The sequence below is a fragment of the Homo sapiens genome, chromosome 3 (assembly GCF_000001405.40).
Source record: "Homo sapiens chromosome 3, GRCh38.p14 Primary Assembly".
NCBI lineage: Eukaryota > Metazoa > Chordata > Mammalia > Primates > Hominidae > Homo > Homo sapiens.
The window spans coordinates 142,026,836-142,047,237 of record NC_000003.12 but is presented as its reverse complement, the minus strand read 5'-3'; the positions used below and the strand labels follow the sequence as shown (position 1 = coordinate 142,047,237).

Genomic DNA, 20,402 nt, shown 5'->3' with positions numbered 1-20,402 from the left:
CCTGATATTTAAAAGGACTTGCATTCCTCAGATAAAAGTTCTTTTCTTTTCTCAGTTGCTACAGTGCTTCAGTTTAAACTTCACATCTATTGGAAGTCTTTCAACGTTGTTAATCTGGATTAGAGATCCTTGAGAGAAAATGCCACTTTCTTTTTTACTATACTGTATTTAATATGCTCAATAGTATCAATAGGCATATTTCTGTTTATGTAAGATTGTAGTGTGGCTGAAGGCTGAAGGGGGGCAAGAGCACATGAGAAGCTATTGCTTCCACTTATCTGCTTTTCCCAGGTTGAATGTGTGCTAGATTATTTTAGGACCTTTTGGGCTCAAAAAATCAATGGGGAAGCCTGAATTTAGATGATAGCTAGCTGGTGGGACCCAACTTAATTTTCTGTCTTATGCTTCGGTCAAATTTGGGAATATACACAAAAAAGCAAAGCTACAAATAGAGATTGGCAATACAGATTAAAATGTGCCAGGCAACAGGAGGAATTTCGATGAGTAGAAATGAAGATTGATCCCTGAGACAAAATAGCGGGGACAGGCAGGAAAAAGGTAGATTTCTACCCTTCTCTACTTCATACCTACAAATTTAAGGAAGTAGGATCTTTACCAACCAGAAACTTGGCAGCTTCCCACCAACACCAACGCCGTGTTGCAACTGCTATCTGCAACATCCAGGGCTCTTTTTCTCCCTCCCATCTCTCTTATCATTACCTCTGTACTTCCCTTAGTGACCACAGCTCTGTAAAGGCAGTGGCAGAAGTGGATTTGTTGGGGGTACGTTTTCAGATGTGATGAAGGTAGTGGTGAGAAGGGGCAAAGAGAAGAAAATCCATGGGAGTAGTATGCCTTTTCTCAGGCCCTACTTTAGACAGACACACAGATTAAGCTTTTTATTATGGAAAATTTCAGATATTTACAAGAGTAAAGAGAACAGTTTAATAAACCAGTCACCAGGTTAAACAACTCTTGGTTAGGTCCTGTTTTTGACTAGGGGAGAACTATATTCTGTTTCAAAGTATGTAGGATTAGATTGCCAATCACGTGCACATGGAACAAGACAACAGGGTCAGAAGATCTTCCTTAGTTTATCAGCGCCATAGTAAATCAGGGGATCCCTACATTAGATCCACAAATTGACTTTAAGTCATGACAAACTGAATTGATGAGCAAAATTGTGTGCTCTAGATAGTATATAATTTTAATTTGATCCTCAAAGGGATCTTTAATCCTCCAAATAGGTGAGAGCCATAGTATTATGTGACTGCTCAATACTAGGTCTGGCTTGTGTGGATAAAGTTTAAAGTCAGGCCAGGCACAGTGGCTCACGCCTGTAATCCCACCACTTTGGGAGACCAAGGTGGGCGGATCACTTGAGGTCAGGATTTTGAGACCAGCCTAGCCAACATGGTGAAATCCCATCCCTACTAAAAAAAAAAAAAAGTACAAAAATTAGCCAGGCATGGTGGCATTTGCCTGTAGTCCCAGCTACTTGGGAGGCTGAGGCAGAAGAATCCTTTGAACCCGGGAGGCGGAGGTTGCAGTGAGCTGAGATACTGCCACTGCACTCCAGCCTGGGTGACAAAGCGAGACTTGGTCTAAAAAAAAAAAAAAAAAAAGTCAAATAATACCTAGGTGGACAGAGACCACCTAGAATTTACTTAACTTTTTTCTTAGAAAACACCAAACCTGGATAGATTTCTCAACTTTCAAATAATTGACAGAAATTTTTAAAGGCATCGTGGGATTTATTAAGAAATTCTTCAAAACACGACCAGGTGTGGTGGCTCACACCTGTAATCGCAGCACTTTGGGAGGCCAAGGTGGGCGGATCACCTGAGGTCAGGAATTCGAGACCAGCTTGGCCAACATGGCGAAATCCTGTCTCTACTAAAAATACAAAAATTAGCCCGGTGTTGTGGTGGGCACCTGTAGTCCCAGCTACTGGGGAGGCTGAGGCAGGAGAATCACTTGAACCCGGGAGGCAGAGGTTGCAATGGGCCGAGATCGTGATCGTGCCACTGCACTCCAGCCTGGGCAACAAGAGTGAAACTCCGTCTCAAAAAAAAAAAAAAAAGGAAAGAGATTCTGCAAAATAAAAGAAGGACATCTGATATTTAAGAAACAGAAAAAAATTATACTTTGAAAAAGTTGAGAAAGGAAACAATATTAGATGGTATTTTCTTTATTCTCATGGGGTTTGTTTAATGAATCTGAAAAATATGTAGAAGATAGCAGATTGCCATAGAAGGAAACCAACTGAGATGTCAGCAATTATAATAATAATAACTAAATATATATTGAGTACCAGATTCTATATTAAAGCCTTCATGAATTAGCTAATTAAATCTAAGTAAATGGTTATTCCCAAGAACACGGAGGTAAAGAGGTTAAATTACTTCCCTAAGATTGTATAACTAATAAGAAGGAGGTCTCAGATTTGATCCCAAATACACTTTGACTTCAGGGACCTAGAGAGAGAAGAAATAAGGATGATTTCACAGGATCTTGGATCATCCTTTGTACTCTTCTGTGTTGGAATTTTAAAAGAAATTATTTAGGGCCGGGCACGGTGGCTCACGCCTGTAATCCCAGCACTTTGGGAAGCCGAGGTGGGCAGATCATTTGAGGTCAAGAGTTCGAGACCAGCCTGGCCAACGTGGTGAAACTCTGTCTCTACTAAAAAATACAAAAATTAGGCCGGGTGTGGCAGCTCACACCTGTAATCCCAGCACTTTGGGAAGCCGAGATGGGCAGATCATGAGGTCAACAGATCGAGACCATCCTGGCCAACATGATGAAACCCCATCTCTAGTAAAAATACAGAAATTATCTGGGCGTGGTGGTGCACGCCTGTAGTCCCAGCTACTTGGGAGGCTGAGGCAGGAGATTCACTTGAATCCGGGGGAGGCAGAGGTTGCAGTGAGCCAAGATCGCGCCACTGCACTCCAGCCTGGCGACAGAGCGAGACTCCGGCTCAAAAAAAAAAAAAAAAAAAAAAAAAACCCTTTTGCTGCTGCCGCCGCCGCAGCCATGAGTATGCTCAGGCTTCAGAAGAGGCTCGCCTCTTCTGTCCTCTGCTGTGGCAAGAAGAAGGTCTGGTTGGACCCGAATGAGACCAGTGAAATTGCCAATGCCAACTCCCGTCAGCAGATGCGGAAGCTGATCAAAGATGAGCTGATCATCAGCAAGCCTGTTGACAGTCCATTCCTGGGCTTGATGCCGGAAAAAGACCTTGGCCCGCCGGAAGGCAGGCACAGTGGCATAGGTAAGCGGAAGGGTACAGCCAATGCGCGAATGCCAGAGAAGGTCATGTGGATTCTGCGCCGGCTGCTTAGAAGATACTGTGAATCTAAGAAGATTGATCGCCATATGTATCACAGCCTGTACCTGAAGGTGAAGGGAAATGTGTTCAAAAACAAGCGGATTCTCATGGAGCACATCCACAAGCTGAAGGCAGACAAGGCCCGCAAGAAGCTCCTGGCTGACCAGGCTGAGGCCCCCAGGTCTAAGACCAAGGAAGCACGCAAGCACGGTGAAGAACGCCTGCAGGCCAAGAAGGAGGAGATCATCAAGACTTTGTCTAAGGAGGAAGAGACCAAGAAATAAAAGCTCCCCCTTTGTCTGTACATACTGGCCTCCGTGATTACATAGATCAGCCATTAAAATAAAAGAAACCTTTATCTGCTTGTAAAAATAAATTAGCCGAGTGTGGTGGCATGCGCCTGTAATCCCAGCTACTTGGGAGGCTGAGGCAGGAGAATCGCTTGAACCCAGGAGGTGGAGGTTGCAGTGAGCCAAGATCGCACCACTGCACTCCAGCCTGGGTGATAGAGTGAGACTCAGTCTCCAAAAATAAATAAATAAATAAGAGTAAAAATAAGCGGCCGGGCGCGGTGGCTCACGCCTGTAATCCCAGCACTTTGGGAGGCCGAGGTGGGTGGATCACGAGGTTAGGAGATCGAGACCATCCTGGCTAACACAGTGAAACCCCGTCTCTACTAAAAATACAAAAAAATTAGCCGGGCGTGGTGGCAGGAGCCTGTAGTCCCAGCTACTTGGGAGGCTGAGGCAGGAGAATGGCGTGAACCCGGGAGGCGGAGCTTGCAGTGAGCCGAGATCGTGCCACTGCACTCCAGCCTGGGCGACAGAGCGAGACTCCGTCTCAAAAAAAATAATAAAATAAGCATCGCCGGGCACGGTGGCTCACGCCTGTAATCCCAGCACTTTGGGAGGCCGAGGCGGGCAGATCACCTGAGGTCGGGAGTTCGAGACCAGACTTACCAACAAGGAGAAAAACCGTCTCTACTAAAAATACAAAAAAATTAGTCGGGCATGGTGGCCCATGCTTGTAATCCGAGCCACTTGGGAGGCTGCGGCAGGAGAATTGCTTGAACCCGGGAGGCAGAGGTTGTGGTGAGCCGAGATCAAGCCATTGCACTCCAGCCTGGGCAAAAAAGCGAAACTCCGTCTCAAAAAAAAAAAAAAAAAAAAGCGTCCAGGCAAGAGGTAGAAAAGAGACTGCTACAAAAAGCTATATATAAAATTCATCACAGATTTTCTGCTGCACTAATAAATGGTAAAAAAAAAAAAAAAAAAAAGAAAAGAAAAGAAAAGAAAGAAAAAGAAACACTGGCCAGGCACAGTGGCTCACACCTGTAATCCCAGCACTTTGGGAGGCTGAGGCAGGCGGATCTCGAGGTCAAGAGATCGAGACCATCCTGGCCAACATGGTGAAACCCCGTCTCTACTAAAAGTACAAAAGTACAAAAATTAGCCGGGCGTGGTGGCACATGTCTACAGTCCCAGCTTCTCAGGAGGCTGAGGCAGGAGAATCACTTGAACCCAAGAGATGGAGGTTGCAGTGAGCCAAGATCATGCCACAACACTCCAGCCTGGTGACAGAGCGAGACTTCATCTCAAAAAAAAAAAGAAACACTATTTACAGTGTTATTAGGAAAAAGAAAATGTCTGCACTGTTATTAGCAAAAGACAATAAGCGATAGTGTTGAAGAGCAGTGAACATAATAGAGTGACAAATATAAGACCACCTTATTAGTAATTAGAATAAAAATGAATATGTTAACATATAAGTTTAAAAGATAGACTCAGGAATTGTCAAAAACCATATCTAAGACTCACATTACCTGATTTTTGAGGCCTACTATAAAGCTGCAGTAATCAAGATAATGTGTTATTGGCAAAAGAATGGACACATATATCAGTAGAACAGAATAAAGAGTGCAGAAATGGACTCACCCAAATATAGTCACCTGATCTCTGAAAAAGGAGCAAAGACAGTTTAATGGAAGAATGGGTTTTTTCAACAAATGATGCTAGAACAATCAAAGTCCGTATGCAAAAAAATGAACCTAGGCATAGACCTTATACCTTTCACAAAAAATTAACTCAAAAGGGATCATAGACCTAATGTAAAATATAAAACTATAAAACTTCTAGAAGAAAATCTGTGTAACCTTGGGTTTGGCAATGATTTTTAGATACAACGCCAAAAGCATGATTCATGAAAGAGAAAACTGATGTTGGTGTTTGTTAAAATTAAAACTTCTTGTATTAGTCCATTTTCATACTGCTATGAAGAAATACCTGAGATTTGGTAATTTATAAAGAGAAGAGGTTTAATGGACTCACAGTTCCACATGGCTGGGGAGGCCTCACAATCATGGCAGAAGGCAAAGGAGGAACAAAGTCACGTCTTACATGATGGCAGGCAAGAGAGCGTGTGCAGAGGAACTGCCCTTTATAAAACCATCAGATCTTGTAAGACTTATTCACTATCATGAGAACAGCATGGGAAAAACCCGCCCTCATGATTCAATTACCTCCCACCTGGTCCTTCCCATGACACATGGGGATTAAGGGAATTACAGTTCAAGATGAGATTTTGGTGGGGCCACAGCTAAACCATATCACTTCTACTCTGAGAAAGATACTGTTAAGAGAATGAAAAGACAAGTCATGGACTGGAAGAAAATACTTTCAAGATACATTTCTGTTAAAGGACTTTGTGGTTAGTCAATTGCAAAGTTTTGAAGCCATGCACAAGTCAGCCCTCACTTATGACATCAGTTGCAAGTTCAGGGGTTTCCAGAACTTCCTTTAGGATTGATAATTCACTAGGAGAATTGACAGAACTCATTGTAAGCTGTTATACTCACAGTTACAGTTTATTACAGCTGAAGGAGACAGATTAAAATTTGTCAAAAGAAAAGGCACATAGGACAGAGTCCAGGAAATTATCAAATACAGTTATAAACCCCACAATACATTTTTAGTGGTTGCTTTAGAGTCTTGATTATCTTTTTTTTTTAAAAGGTCTTGCTCTGTCATCCAGGCTGCAGTGTAGTGTTATGATCATGGTTCACTGTAGCCTCAAACTCCTGGGCTCAAGTGATTTTCCTCCCTTAGCCTCCTAAGTAGCTGAGAGTACAAGTGTGAGCTAGCACACCCAGCTAATTTATTTTTTATTAAAAAAAGTTTTAGCTGGGCGTGATGGCTCACACCTGTAATCCCAACATTTTGGGAGGCCACGGTGGGCAGATCACCTGAGGTCGGGAGTTCAAGACCAGCCTGACCAACATGGAGAAACCCTGTCTCTACTAAAAATACAAAATTAGCCGGGCATGGTGGCAATGCCTGCCTGTAATCCCAGCTACTCGGGAAGCTGAGGCAGAAGAATCGCTTGAACCCAGGAGGCAGAGGTTGCGGTGAGCTGAGATTGTGCTATTGCACTCCAGCCTGGATAACAAGAGCGAGACTCCGTCTCAAAAAAAAAAAAAAATTTGTAGAGATAGTGTTTTGCTACGTTACTCAGGGTGGTCTCAAACTCCTGGCCTCAGGCAGTTCTGCCTAAGCTTCCCAAAGTACTGGGATTACAGGCAGAAGCCACTGCGCCTACCATAGAATATTAGTTATCTTTTGAAGTGATTAAAAAGGGAAAAGATTTTCTTCCAGTTTAATGATGAGAAAAGTGAAAGAACAGTTATTTTAAAGCCCCTGATATTTCCAACATCTAGGTCATAAATGAGTCTCGTTCTGTTGATAGCTTTATCTCTTGGTAATGTGCATGCCTGTGTGTGTGTGTGTGTGTGTGTGTTTTATTTTGTGTATGTCTTATAATTTTTAGTTTAATGGCAAACATCATGTATACAAGAACAGTAGAGACTGAGGTAGATGGTATTTTGTGTCTGGATATAGGCACGCCTCTCCCATCAGGCCAATTGCCTGTGACATTGAGTCAACCTAGTCTGGAGTTGAGGTGGATTTGGATTTTGATGTTGGTATCATTATGTTCAGTGTACTTGGGCTGCTGTTACCTGGTACCTGGAGCCTGGGGTACCAGATGGTTTTTCTTCAGTGTTTCTGTTCCACTGTTGGCTTTCCTCAGTCCCATCATGCCTCCATCACAGAGGGGGAGTCTCTATTCATATCCTTGCCCCTTCACTAGTGGTTGACTGATGCTGCTTGTTACTCAGTGCTAGGCTTATGGTGGTGTCATAGGTGGTTTTCTATTGTCCTGGTTCAGCCTTAGCTTTAGGCAGTCCCTGTTCATTTGAACCCCAGGGGTGGTACTTAATCTGCCCTTTCCTGAGCAGTAGCAAACCTCTGCTTGGCATCAGAATCCTGGGCCAATGAGGATTCTCTCCTGCTCTCCCAGAAACAAGATGTTTGCTTCTACCTCTCCCCCAGCAGCAATAGGGTATGTGAGAGGTGGGAGGTTTACTTGAACCCAGGAGGTCGAGGCTGCAGTGAGCCATGATAGTGGCACCACACTCCAGCCTGGGTGACAGAGCAAGACCCTGTCTCAAAACAACAACAACAACCCAAAAAACTGTCAAGGTCATCAGGAACAAAACATAGCCAATAGCCAAGAAACTGTCACATACCAGAGGAGACTAAGGAAACATGATGACTAAATGCAATACAAATAAAAAAATAAATATTGGCACTGTAAGAAAAAATAGGGCAGCAGAATGGGTAATTCACAGGAGAAGAAATGCAAATGGCTAATAAAAATATGAGTATGAATTCAACTTCACTAGTAATTAAACTCAAATGTAAATGACAAAAACTGATTTTTGCCAGTGACATTAGCAAAGGATTGTTTTTGTTAATACTAGCATTTGGCAAGGTTGTAGAGAATATGGGAACTCAGAATAATACAGCCTCTCTGGAGGATAATTTGCGCAGTATCATATCAAAAGGCTTAAAATTGTACAAATTATTTGACTTAGCCATGTCTGTGCCGTTGATTTATCTTAATAAAGTAAAGGAAGATCTGTGGGAAGATTTAGTCAAAGGGTGCCTATCACGGCATTGTTAATAATAATGAAAAATTGAAAGTAGCATGATAATTAACAGTATATTGTGATATTCTTGTATGGTGATATTCTGTAGATATTAAAAGTTAAACAATTTGTTAAGTTCAAAAAGTTAAACTAACATGTATGGTGTGATCCCCTTTTTTGTAAAAAAAAATATGTATCATAGAAAGACTCGATATGTGTACACAAAACATTAATTGTAATTTTTGGATGATTGAATTCTAGATGATTTTTGTTTCCTCCTGTGTGCTTTTCTATATTTTGCAGTTTTTTCTGACATGAGCATGTGCAGTATTTTGGACATTATATAAAAAGCTATTTAAAAACGAAATCTTTTTCCTCTATCAATTAGCAAAGATTTTCTTAAAATTATTACCTTTGTTGGCAAAGGTATGAGAAATTGGTATCTTTATTTTATATCCACTTCTTATTCTACATCTATTTAATTCTTCTCATCTACAGTATTTCTACTTATTCTCTTTTTTTTTTTTTTTTTTTTTTTTGAGATGGAGTCTCGCTCTGTCGCCCAGGCTGGAGTACAGTGGTATGAGCTCACCTCACTGCAAGCTCTGCCTCCCGGGTTCACGCCATTCTCTTGCCTCAGCCTCCTGAGTAGCTGGGACTACAGGCTTCCGCCACTACTCCCGACTAATCTTTTGTATTTTTAGTAGAGACAGGGTTTCACTGTGTTAGCCAGGATGGTCTCAATCTCCTGACCTCATGATCCACCTGCTTCGGCCTCCCAGAGTGCTGGGATTACAGGCGTGTGCCACTGCGCCTGGCCCTTCTACTTCTTCTTTATATCTACTTCTGTAGGGGATCAGCACAAGCACTCTTGGGAAGCAAATTGGTAATAAATGTCAAACCCCTTAAAATAATTTATATTCTTTCACTCAGTAGAAAGGCTTCTGGGGGATTTGTCATTAGAAAAGAATCAGAGATGTGGGTGGAGACATGTTTATTACATGATAATGTATAACTGCAAAGTATGAAGACTGTAAATATCCACTTAAAAGGGAAATAAAATATGACACAACTGTATAGTGGAATATTATGCATTCATGAGAGTATTTAAAGAATATTTATTGATGTCTGATAATCTTCTTGCTTCTTAGTCTTCTGCTCAGAATGGCATCCATGATTATGTTTCTTTCCCCATGTTTTTTACTGTAGTCCCAGATAAGAAAGTAAGGACTGGATTCCCTCTCTTACTTTGTGTAAATAACCACAACTAGTAAATTACTTTTCCCCCCACAAAACCATTTCCTTATGTGTATTTGTCTTCCTCAGTTTCAATTTATTTGCTTTACTTTAATTATGGGTATTATGTGAGCCTTTGCACAGTTCTGTTTTTCTGCCTGAAATTATCTTCTCCCTGCTTTTACCATGGCTGAGACCTCTTCACCTTCTAGGTTGCAGCTTAAATAATACTCAGAGAGGTCTTCTTGGACCACCTTATCTATAATAAAAGAGCATACAATGTATTACTAATACCCTTTACCATCTCTCTAATGCCCACTAGTTTTTTTCATTGCAGTTAACACAGTTGATGATGTTTTTGTATTTATTTGCTTGTTTATAATGTGTCCTCCAGTAGACTGTAACTTCCTGAGGCTAGGAATTATATCTTCACAAGTATATTTTTAGGTCCTCTCCTAATGTCTGGCACATGTAAACAGTCAGCAAATATGTGTAGATTGAATGAACAAACTAAATTTTGCAGTTTTGATGACAGCTTATTAAGAATTTATCATGTTACTTAGTTGAAAGTTGTCATACCAAAGTTATTCTTATAACACATATTTATTTTAGCTATATTGGTTTGATATTTAATATATTTTATGTAGGAATGTAGAGGAAGAAGTTTAGGTTACACTCGAGGTCATAGAGAGTCTTATAACGAGTTCAGACTACCATTGGACGCTGAGGAGTGTGTAGAATTTGAAGAGACAAAGAAGAGGGGGAAAGACATTTTGAACAAGACTGCCCCATGAGTTTTTTAAGACAGGACAGCAGGAATATCTTTAGCATGTTTGGGAAAACATGACAGAGAATTGTGGGTGACTAATGGAGCTACTTGCTGGTAATTATAAATGGAATGTTACTAGTTAGAAAATTTCATCTAGGTCTAATCATTAAGAGCCTGGAAAGAAGGCCAAGGTAGTTGGAATATCTTTTGTATTCAGGGCAGTTCTTTTAACAGATGGGAAGCTACTGAAGGTATTTGATCAAGTGAAGGTCCCTTGTCATTTATTAATTTGTTTATTAATAGATATTTATTGAGTGCATGCTGTCTACTATGTGGTCTTCTAGATGAGGAGGGTACAGAGATGGAATAGGAGGGCTGGAGAGCCAAAAACCGGCTGTGGAGGAACTCGCAGACTGTGGGAAGTGACAGACATGCAAATTACAAAGGGTTGTGATAAATGTTGTAATAAATGCACATCATCAATACTGTGGGAACTCAAAATAGGACCAGGTTTATTCAGATAGTTGTGAATATCTTAACTAAGGAGGTGACATTTTCTATGGGTTTTGGAGGATAAGCATTAATTTACCAGGTAAAGAAAATTCTGACCTTAGCAGTAAAGTCATGGACCATTCAGGGAATGGTAAATAAGTCATGCACCTGGAATTGTGGGAGATGAGCCTAGAAAAACAGTTATCCTAAAACAGTTATCCATTAAGGACCTTGTATTATCTATTTAATGAGGAACCATCAAAAGTTCTCATATAGAGGACTGAAGTGATCTTCTTTATTTTTTTTCCCATCCAGAATAGTTTACTTGGCACAAATGGACTAGTATATGACATGGAGAACAGTATTAGGCTTTAGTTAGCTTTTTGATTAAAATCTACTCATTGAATTCATATCTGTAATTAATACTGATAGTCACCAAGTATGTGGACTTTGAGAAGTCAAGAACTTGATTAGTATTTAGTCCATTTTCACACTGCTGATAAATGCATACCTGAGACATGGCAATTTACAAAAGAAAGAGGTTTAATTGGACTTACAGTTCCATGTGGCTGGGGAAGCCTCACAATCATGCTGGAAGGCAAGAAGGAGCAAGTCATGTCTTATGTGTATGGCAGCAGGCAAAGAGAGGAGCGCTTGTGCAGGAAAACTCCCACTTATAGTAACCAGCAGATCTCATGAGTCTTACCATTACAAGAACAGCACCAGAAAGACCTGCCCCCATGATTCAATTACCTACCACCAGGTCCCTCCCACAACACATGGGAATTCAAGATGAGATATGAGTGGGGACACAGCGAAACCATATCAGTTAGAATCTCAGTTTTACCACTTGCTAGCATTTATGCAAGTTATTTGATATTAGTAAGCCTACGTTTTCTCATCTCTCTCAATGAGGCTTATGAGTGGTTTATGGGCACTTTTGACCAAGGAGATGTAATGAGGTTGCTGTTAGATGGGGGAGACAGTCAAATGAGACTCTTGATTAGACATACTATTGTCTCAGTGTACTCTGAGTGCTGAGTGAAGACAGACCTTGAGACAGCCATAAAAAGATAGAAATTTAATCCATAAATGCAATTAGTTCAAAGTAGGTTTTTGTATGGCATGCTTAAAGATTTGGAGGCAGGAACTACTGAAAGTTTTTAAGCAGGAATCCATATGTTCCACTTTTCCCAAACAGCTCCTAATTATTTATGGTGTGCCCCTTTCACTCCTAATGGTAATTCAGTTTAGATAATAAATTATGTAATCAGTCACCTTCTGAAACAACAGTACAGCAAAAGAGATGGCTGTGGTTGAGCCATTTAGAATACAAGTAATAAGAAAAAAATAAAGGAACCACTCCACAAGTTTTGGGGTGGAAACAGAGAAGGAATAGTCTTTATAAAAGCCAAGAGAAGGCTGGGTGTGGTGGCTCACACCTGTAATCCCAGCACTTTGGGAGGCCAAGGCAGGCGGATCACGAGGTCAGGAGATCGGGACCATCTTGGTTAACACGGTGAAACCCTGTCACTACTAAATATACAAAAATTAGCTGGGTGTGGTGGCGGGTGCCTGTAGTCCCAGCTACTTGGGAGGCTGAGGCCGTGAGAACCTGGGAGGCAGAGCTTTCAGTGAGCCGAGATTGCGCCACTGCACTCCAGCCTGGGTGACAGAGCAAGACTCCGTCTCAAAAAAAAAAAAAAAAGCCAAGAGAAGATTGTTGTAATAGTATTAAGAAGATGGGATTTGTAAGATCAGCAAGGCCAGATACAGCAAGGCTATGGAGCATAAGCACACATTATTAGATTTATCAAGGCAGAGCTCATTGTCTGCTTTAGACAATGCAGTTCATTTGAGCAGTTGGATAGAAGCCAAATTGGGTTTTTGTTTTTTTGTTTTGTTTTATTTTTTGAGGATAAGGACAATGTCTTGTTTATTTTTCTCTCTCTAGTGCCTAACTGTGGTTGTGTCAGAGGTACTTGGTGCATTTTTGAAGATTTAATAATTAATTAATAGTTGGTGCAGGCCAGGCATGGTGGCTAACACCTGTAATCCCAGCACTTTGGGAGGCCGAGGTGGGCGGATCACCTGAGGCCAGGAGTTTTAGACCAGCCTGACCAACATGGAGAAACGCTGTCTCTACTAAAAATACAAAAAAAATTAGCCAGGCGTGGTGGCGCATGCCTGTAATCCCAGCTACTCTGGAGGCTGAGGCGGGAGAATTGCTTGAACCTGGGAGGCGGAGGTTGAGGTGAGCCGAGATCACGCCATTGCACTCCAGCCTGGGCAACAGGAGCAAAACTCCGTCTCAAAAAAAAAAAAAAAAAAAAAAGTTGGTGCAAAAGCTGAGATAGTGGCTATAGATACCACACTAAAAAATTTTAGTGATTAAAGAGAGATGGGAAGTATGATGTTTTTAGTTTGGTTAGCAGTTAGAAGGGAACAATCTCTGCATTTGAAATGTTAAGATGAACTCAGTGGGAAGAGAAATATTAAAGTTTCTGAAGAGGGAAGTAAGTTTGAAAGCTAAAGCCCTTGTTGCCTACAAAAGACCCTTTTGCAAAGTGGACCCTCCTGGTTCAGTTATCTCACCCTTTGGGATTCTGTGTGCCAGCTGAGCCAACTAATTCCTTTCATGTTAAACTAGTTTGAGTTCGATTTCTGTCCCTTATAACTAAACAAATACTTGAATTTGGATGAAGTATTCTGACTCTAATGCTCATGCTGTCTCCACTGTACCATATTTCTTCTCTAAGGCTAAAGGTATTATCTCCAAAATTTTGTCCCTCCCTAACTTGTGGGGGCTTTAGTGAACTATTTCTGTCCTCTCTAGAATCTTTGCTTTCTTTCCCTCCTATAGATCCCTCGCCACGTAGCTCGTGTAGGCCTCCCTTATCTTTGTGAAGCCTTAAACTTAATTCTGTGGGCCCCACTAAGTTGTGATAAAGCATGCATAGGGGTTTTGGTAGAAGATAACGTTAACACAGGTAGATTGGAGCTGGGTCTATGTTGAAAAAAATTTGGATTACTAATTTAAGTGGTTTGCCATTGATTTCTAGATCAGAGATGTTTAATAGAACTTTCTTCAGTGATGGAAATGTTCTATATCTACAGTGTTCAATACAGTAGCTGTTAGCCACATGCAGCTCCATAGAGCACTTGACATGTGGCTAGCATGACTGAGAAATCAAATTTTAAATTTAATTTTATGTATTTATCTATTTTTATAAGACAGAGTCTCACTCAGTCGCCCAGGCTGGAGTGCAGTGGTGTAATCTCGGCTCACTGCAACCTCTGCCTCCTGGGTTCAAGTGATTCTCCTGCCTCAGGCTCCCAAGTAGCTGGGATTACAGGGGCCTGCCACCATGCCCAGCTAATTTTTGTGTTTTTAGTAGAGAGGGGTTTCACCATGTTGGCCAGGCCAGTCTTGAACTCCTGACCTCAGGTGATCCACCCGCCACAGCCTCTCAAAGTGCTGGAATTACAAGCATAAGCCACTGCGCCTGGCTGATTTTATTTAATTTTAATCACCTTAAATTTAAATGGCCACATATGGCTAAGGCTACCATTTTGGATGGTATAGCTCTAGACATCAGAAGTTATATTTCTCATTTTGTTTTGTTTTTAAACTGGGAGAATGATATATGTTAGAAAAAAAATGGAAACAATGTGGGCATTTGGGTGGTGAGGATGAGGCAAGAAGAAAATCACTTTCTGTTCTTGATATTAATGCCTTTAACAAGGATGAGGAACCTAGGAGGATGAGTGGGTTTGGGAAGGTAGACAGGAAGTTCAATACTGAGTTGAGATTATGGGATATATAAACAGAGATGTCCAATAGGCATCTAAAGAAGAGTTTACAGCAGAACAGAAAAAGCCAGGGCTAGAAGTATAAATTTCTGTAGTCATCTTTGTAGAGGTGATAAAGCTATAGAATATAGGTCACATCCTCTAGAGTGGGAGTGTAGATCTTGAAGAAAAGAGCATTGAGCACAGAACTCAGAAAAATGTGCATATTGAAAGAGTCGAGCTAAGCGTAGTAGCTCACACTCGTAATCCCAGCACTTTGGAGGGAGGCAGGAGGATCACTTGAGCCTAGGAGTTCAGCCTGGGCAACATAGCAAAACCCTGTCTCTATAAAAAATACAAAAATTAGCCAGGCATGGTGGTGCACACCTGTGGTCCTGGCTGCTTGGGAGGCTGAAGTGGGAGGGATCACCTGAGCCCAGGAGATTGAGGCTACAGTGAGCTGTGATCACACCACTGCACATCAACTCCAGCCTGCATGAAAGAACAAAACCCTCTCTCTCTTAAAAAAAAAAGAGAGAGAGAGAGAAAGAAAAAAAGTGGAAAGAGGAAGAGCAGCAGGCAAACAGGAAATATGAAATATTTACTATGCAATGTTTTTAAGAAATTGGCACCTAACCATGCAAGTGATAGCAGAAAGTTTTTGCTTTAGGTGTAGTGCTTGTCAGGAAGATTCAATATTTTACTTGAAAATGTAAGTACAGGTACAATGTAACTAATTTCTACTGCTTCATTATATAGATCTGATAGATAGTTTTTATTTGGCCAATGCCTGCCATCATTACACTATTATAGTGTTATTTCTGCCTATAGAATCATAAATGTGTCTGTTAAATGGGCTTAATATTTGGGCAGATTGCCAATAAATGTCACAAACTCCAGTCCAAATAAATCAGTTTATAAACCTAGGAGAATGTCCAGCTACCTTTGGTGTTTTCCAGATAATCAGTAGTTGTAATTAATGATGTTTAAATGGATTTTCTACATAAGATTAAGGAGAAATTGTTTGACACAACCTATATAATCTGCATTTTTATCATCTGAGTGGGAAGTCTTATTACTTTCCCCACACTGTGTCATACACTTGCAGAAGAACATAAAAGGTAGTGATTATGCTACGTGCCAAGAAAGACATCAGAGCAGATTGAAGGGGTGTAGTATGAGTAAAGAATTTGAGACCAGAGAAAAGGCTCTGGAAAGGAAGGCAAGCATGGAGAAGGAAACTTGAAGGAATAGATTGGCTGAAGGTCAGATCTGTGGAGTAGACAGTAGGTAACAGGTCAATTTGTTGCCCAGCTCAGTGCCTGATACATAATAGGTGCTCAGTATTTATTGAAGGAAGGAATGGGAAAAGGAAAATTCATTCTGCAAGAACAGTAGAATCCTACTTTGGCCCCACCTTATTTTATTTGTCACTTGACCTCAGTTATCACATCTTTCTGACCTTGGGTTGCTGTTAGGTTTATTGTTAAAACATACACTAAATAGTTTATATTTTAACTTGTAATTGTTGTCTAGCTCTGGACAATTGGAGGGCCGGGGGGGTGCTCTCCTATTTAGAGAACACGGGAATACGCCGGGCGCGGTGGCTCACGCCTGTAATCCCAGCACTTTGGGAGGCCGAGGCGGGCGGATCACGAGGTCAGGAGATCGAGACCATCCCGGCTAAAACGGTGAAACCCTGTCTCTACTAAAAATACAAAAAATTAGCCGGGCGTAGTGGCGGGCGCCTGTAGTCCCAGCTACTTGGGAGGCTGAGGCAGGAGAATGGCGTGAACCCGGGAGGCGGAGCTTGCAGTGAGCCGAGATCGCGCCACTGCACTCCAGCCTGGGCGACAGAGCGAGACTCCGTCTCAAAAAAAAAAAAAAAAAAAGAGAACACGGGAATATACTTGAGTACTTGGATGTTTAATTTCCTTTTGTTTTAAGACTATAACAGAGTAGGTGTGACCATATCTAGCCCCTGAATATTCTGGCCTTGGGTGACACAGGTGAGCACTTCTAGCTGATCTGACAGGTTAAAGGTGTACACTTATTTTCTCTGTAAGAAGCGTCATCTGGTAAGATGATCAAGAATGGTGCAAAGCAGGATGGGGAGTTTAAAATTGTTTCCAAATGTGGGAATGTAAATGAATATAAACATGTAAGATTTTAATATACCAAACTGATCAGATTCTGTGTAATTTCCAAGTTTCTTTTTTCTTTCAAAACTCCTCTGAAATCTGACTGTCCACAAAAACTTACTTTATAGAATTTTATGTGATTTATTTACTCAGATATTATACTGACCTCACATCCAGTAGTGAAAACAGATTTTATTGTAGAATCTGGAAAGATAGAGGGCCATATAGGTTGTATTTTCAGTTTTGTTTATACTAACACGTGTTTACAACCCAGTTTAATTTACACCCTGTATTGTATTATTGTTGTCATATCTCTGTATGCATGTAAGTATAATATGTGTTGGCAAAGGAAAATTTTGAGTAAGAAGAAGCTCTCTGATCTATTTGATTCAATATGTATTTGAGTGTCTAACAGACACTGTTTTAGACACTGGTGATACAACACTGAACGGAGCACCAAATACTTTACAGCGTCTCCTGGAGCTGTTGTCAAGACATACTTTCCAAGGGGAATATTTCAGAATAGGTGATAACTAGTCAACGAAGGAAAAGTACCTTAGTCATCTAGGAGAGTTGTACTTAGAGTGAACTGAAATAAACTAAGCTCACGAAAGACAGAGATTTTTTGTTTGGCTTTTGTCTGTTGCATTCACTACTGTATCTCCAGGGCCCAAAATAGTGCTCGGCTCATAATAAGTATTCAGCAAATATATGTTGTTGATTGGAGTGTTTGTTTTGAATTTCTGTAATCAAACACATACCTTGGTAAATTATCTTTACATCTTGCTAGTTGAAAATTTTATCTCAGTTGCTTTGTTTTTAATGTTACCTTGCTTTTTGTTTCTACTTGTGCCATACATCAGGATGCTGGAAAAGCTTATTAATATTGACAGTCATATGGTTATCTGATATTGAAAAGAATAGATTTGGAAAGGAACCTAAGAGGTCATCTTTTGTTCAGCTTCCTGCCTAGGAAAACTAAGTAAGATGATTAGGTATGTATATTTAATTAGTCATTTAAAAAAAAACCAGGACAACATAATTGAGTTCCCTCTTGAGAAAATGGAGAAAGGTACTTAACCCTAGCTATAAAGGGACTAACCTGGAAATTTTAGAACTTCTGTGTGGGAAAGTGGAAAAAAAAAAAAAGCACAACTAAGCTGCTCTTTGTTGATATCAGAAATGGGCCTGTCATTCATTTTGGCATTGAAGCATAGCCTCCTATCTCGGGGCAGGACTGGGACATTTTTTTCCTCCCACAAGAGCTGGACAGTTATTACAGGTTCAAAAAGCCCCGACCAGTTTTTCAAGAGTTTCTCCTCCTCTTTTCCCCCTGAAACTCGTGGTGCTTTTGCTCTGCTTTCAAGATGCATTAAGTCTCCTGCTTTGTGACTGCTTTGGAGCCAGCAGATACTCTGATATGTATAATTCAAATTATGCAGGTTTCACGAGTAAGTTTAATCTTATTTTTTAAGTTAGTTAAAAGGCAAGTGATATTTAGAAAAATGTTAACTTGTAGTTATTTCACCCTTTTTACTTTAAGCATTTTTATTGCTTCTCGGCCTTTTGGCTAAGATCAAGTGTGTACTTTAAGCATTTTTTAAAATAAAAATATCCTTTTAATTTAATAAGAAAACAAGGTTCTACATAGAAAAGCCCCTTCATCTAAGACCTGCACTTTTCAATTTCTTTTGAGATGTCTTTGTTGTAAACAGTATTCATATGTCTTTTGAAAGCCAGTTAACTAAACAGTTTTCTTGAGCATCTTTTTAGTTTTACTGAGAAGTATTTTAAATTGAGCTTTTCTGAGCTCGATTGCTTACGTCTGACACAGTCTCAAGTTTCCACTGAATGGTAACAAAGACTGTAGAATGTTGTTGGTACTGCAGTGAGAGGCATGCTTCCTTAGACCAGGTAAGAGAGATCAGTTTGTTTCTCACTGCTGGGTGAGTTTTTACAGCTCTTATTTTATATTCTTTAAGCAGCAGCAATATTAAATTGATAAATAGCCAGGAGCACGCTGATTTCAAGACGTCCTTGCTTGTTGCAGACAGAAAAACTACAGGGTTATGTATGGGGGTTGGGGTGGGGGGGGAGGGGAAGAATTAGTTTATTACTCAGTTACTTATATAAATTAATTAAAATGTGAAAATAATTCTGGAGCTCAGTTTTCTTAATTCAGGAACTAAAGCAGCAGTTGAGGAAATCAGTAATTTTAAAGGTACTTCATGGTTATTACTTGTGAAAGCAATTCAAAGGATAGTTTTTACTTTCATTTTTTTCCCCAGTAGTTAATAAAATAAGCTTTGCCCTTAACTAAACATTTTTTCCACTTACGAAAACTTTTAAATTGCCAACAGCAAAATATACTTCCCAAGGATCCTTGGAAATCAACCTGACACTTGAAAAATATTTCAGCTTTTATAGCTGTTTCATTCCTTTTTTTCCCTAGTACATTTTTCTTAAAAGTATTTGTGCTTTGAAAATGTCAGCTGTATTCTAATGAAGCTTAGGCATTGTTTGCTCATAAAGGGGCCGGTGCATTCCACTGCTTTATGGTTTATTATGAGGCACAGTGTGAGAGTGTGGGTGGCACCATTTGGTGTCTGCCTCTTGGGGTAGTGACTGCCATTATGTTAGCCTTGGACTGGCAAAGAAAATATAGCATACAAGATGCTATATGAATCTGGATACTGTGAAGAAAATCTTACCCCTAAACAATTCTTAATGACCCCGGAATATATGACAACTTGATTGAATTGATCATTTCAATTATACCCTTGAAGTTTGCATTTTAGTTACAACGTATATTCTATTAGACACGTCTTATTTTTTGATATATAATAGCATTTAGTCATTCTTTGAAGTTCAATAAGGAAGTGAATGTTTCTAAACTATGATGTTTTTAATAGATACAGTGAAATTTTAAATAATACATTTACTTAAAAAAGTTTTAAGGAACTTAGTGTGGGTGGGGAGCGGGAGTGGGAGAGGGAGAGGGAGAGGGAGAGGAGGTCAGGCAGAGAGTCTTTCTTCTTTCAGTTAGGAAAGCCCTGGTGAAGAAAAAAAGCAACAGATGTTTCTTCTGTTACAATTGAGGTTGTTTCATTCAAAACTCAGAGTAGCTGGAATGGAGAGAGGAGGTCATAAATCTGATTTAATCAGTGAATAAATAAAATTTAGTCATTTAAAATTTATTATTTTATATTCAGGAATTGAAAGTCATAGAGTAACAAAATGAGTAACATACCCAATATTTAAAAAAAAACTTTAAATATTGCCTGTAGCCTGTATAATTAATGAAAATGTGAGAAAATTAATTCTGTTGAACTTCACTTAAGGAAAAAATTGATAATTAAATCATATAGACCATTTTTTTAAAGCCTAAGCCATCTAAAATATAGAGGAAACAGTTGCAAAAGTTTATCACTAGACAGTAGGTACAAAATCTCAAAATGAAAATAAAATGAGAAACATCAGTTACATATGTTGATAGATGATTTCATCTTCTGTGAGAAGCTGAGGCTTATTCCTAAGACCTTTGCATAAGAAATATGGGAGTAATATTTTGGGTTTAATTGAAATGATATGTTGCAGTTTGCCTCTAAAAAGAAAGATAATAAGCTTGGATTGGTTGCTAATGGAAAGAGGAGAATG

The 20,402-nt window shown here is 40.0% G+C and overlaps 1 protein-coding gene and 1 pseudogene across 26 annotated transcripts in view, besides 3 other annotated features; both read left to right on the top strand.

Annotated features, from left to right (window-relative positions):
• Window positions 1–20,402, top strand: part of TFDP2 (transcription factor Dp-2) — a 205,117-nt gene that overhangs the window by 102,307 nt on the left and 82,408 nt on the right. For 5 of the 26 annotated variants that reach the window (NM_001178142.2, NM_001375779.1, NM_001178141.2 and 2 more), the window contains exon 1: window positions 18,612–18,659. The exons of 19 other annotated variants lie outside the window; for them this stretch is intronic. Coding sequence is in view for 2 of the 7 variants with exons in the window: in NM_001375774.1 (NP_001362703.1) it covers window positions 18,166–18,196 (31 nt within the window). In the remaining 5 variants the exon portion in view is untranslated. Of the gene's footprint in view, window positions 1–18,057; window positions 18,197–18,611; window positions 18,660–20,402 lie in introns of those variants that run through there. 2 more of the 26 variants (NM_001375774.1, XM_047448776.1) reach the window with 1 other exon arrangement.
• RPL19P6 (ribosomal protein L19 pseudogene 6) lies at window positions 3,013–3,694 on the top strand (annotated as a pseudogene).
• Window positions 17,905–17,954: an enhancer, noted in NCBI's record as "active region_20640". NCBI's record gives its function as "activates an Ori minimal core promoter by ATAC-STARR-seq in GM12878 lymphoblastoid cells {active_cell/tissue: GM12878}" and the evidence as "EXISTENCE:reporter gene assay evidence [ECO:0000049][PMID:35858748]".
• Window positions 18,361–18,862: an enhancer, noted in NCBI's record as "NANOG hESC enhancer chr3:141747218-141747719 (GRCh37/hg19 assembly coordinates)". NCBI's record gives its function as "activates a minimal SCP1, AML or CMV promoter by ChIP-STARR-seq in naive H9 embryonic stem cells {active_cell/tissue: H9 hESC(naive)}" and the evidence as "EXISTENCE:reporter gene assay evidence [ECO:0000049][PMID:30033119]".
• Window positions 19,249–19,298: a silencer, noted in NCBI's record as "silent region_14783". NCBI's record gives its function as "represses an Ori minimal core promoter by ATAC-STARR-seq in GM12878 lymphoblastoid cells {active_cell/tissue: GM12878}" and the evidence as "EXISTENCE:reporter gene assay evidence [ECO:0000049][PMID:35858748]".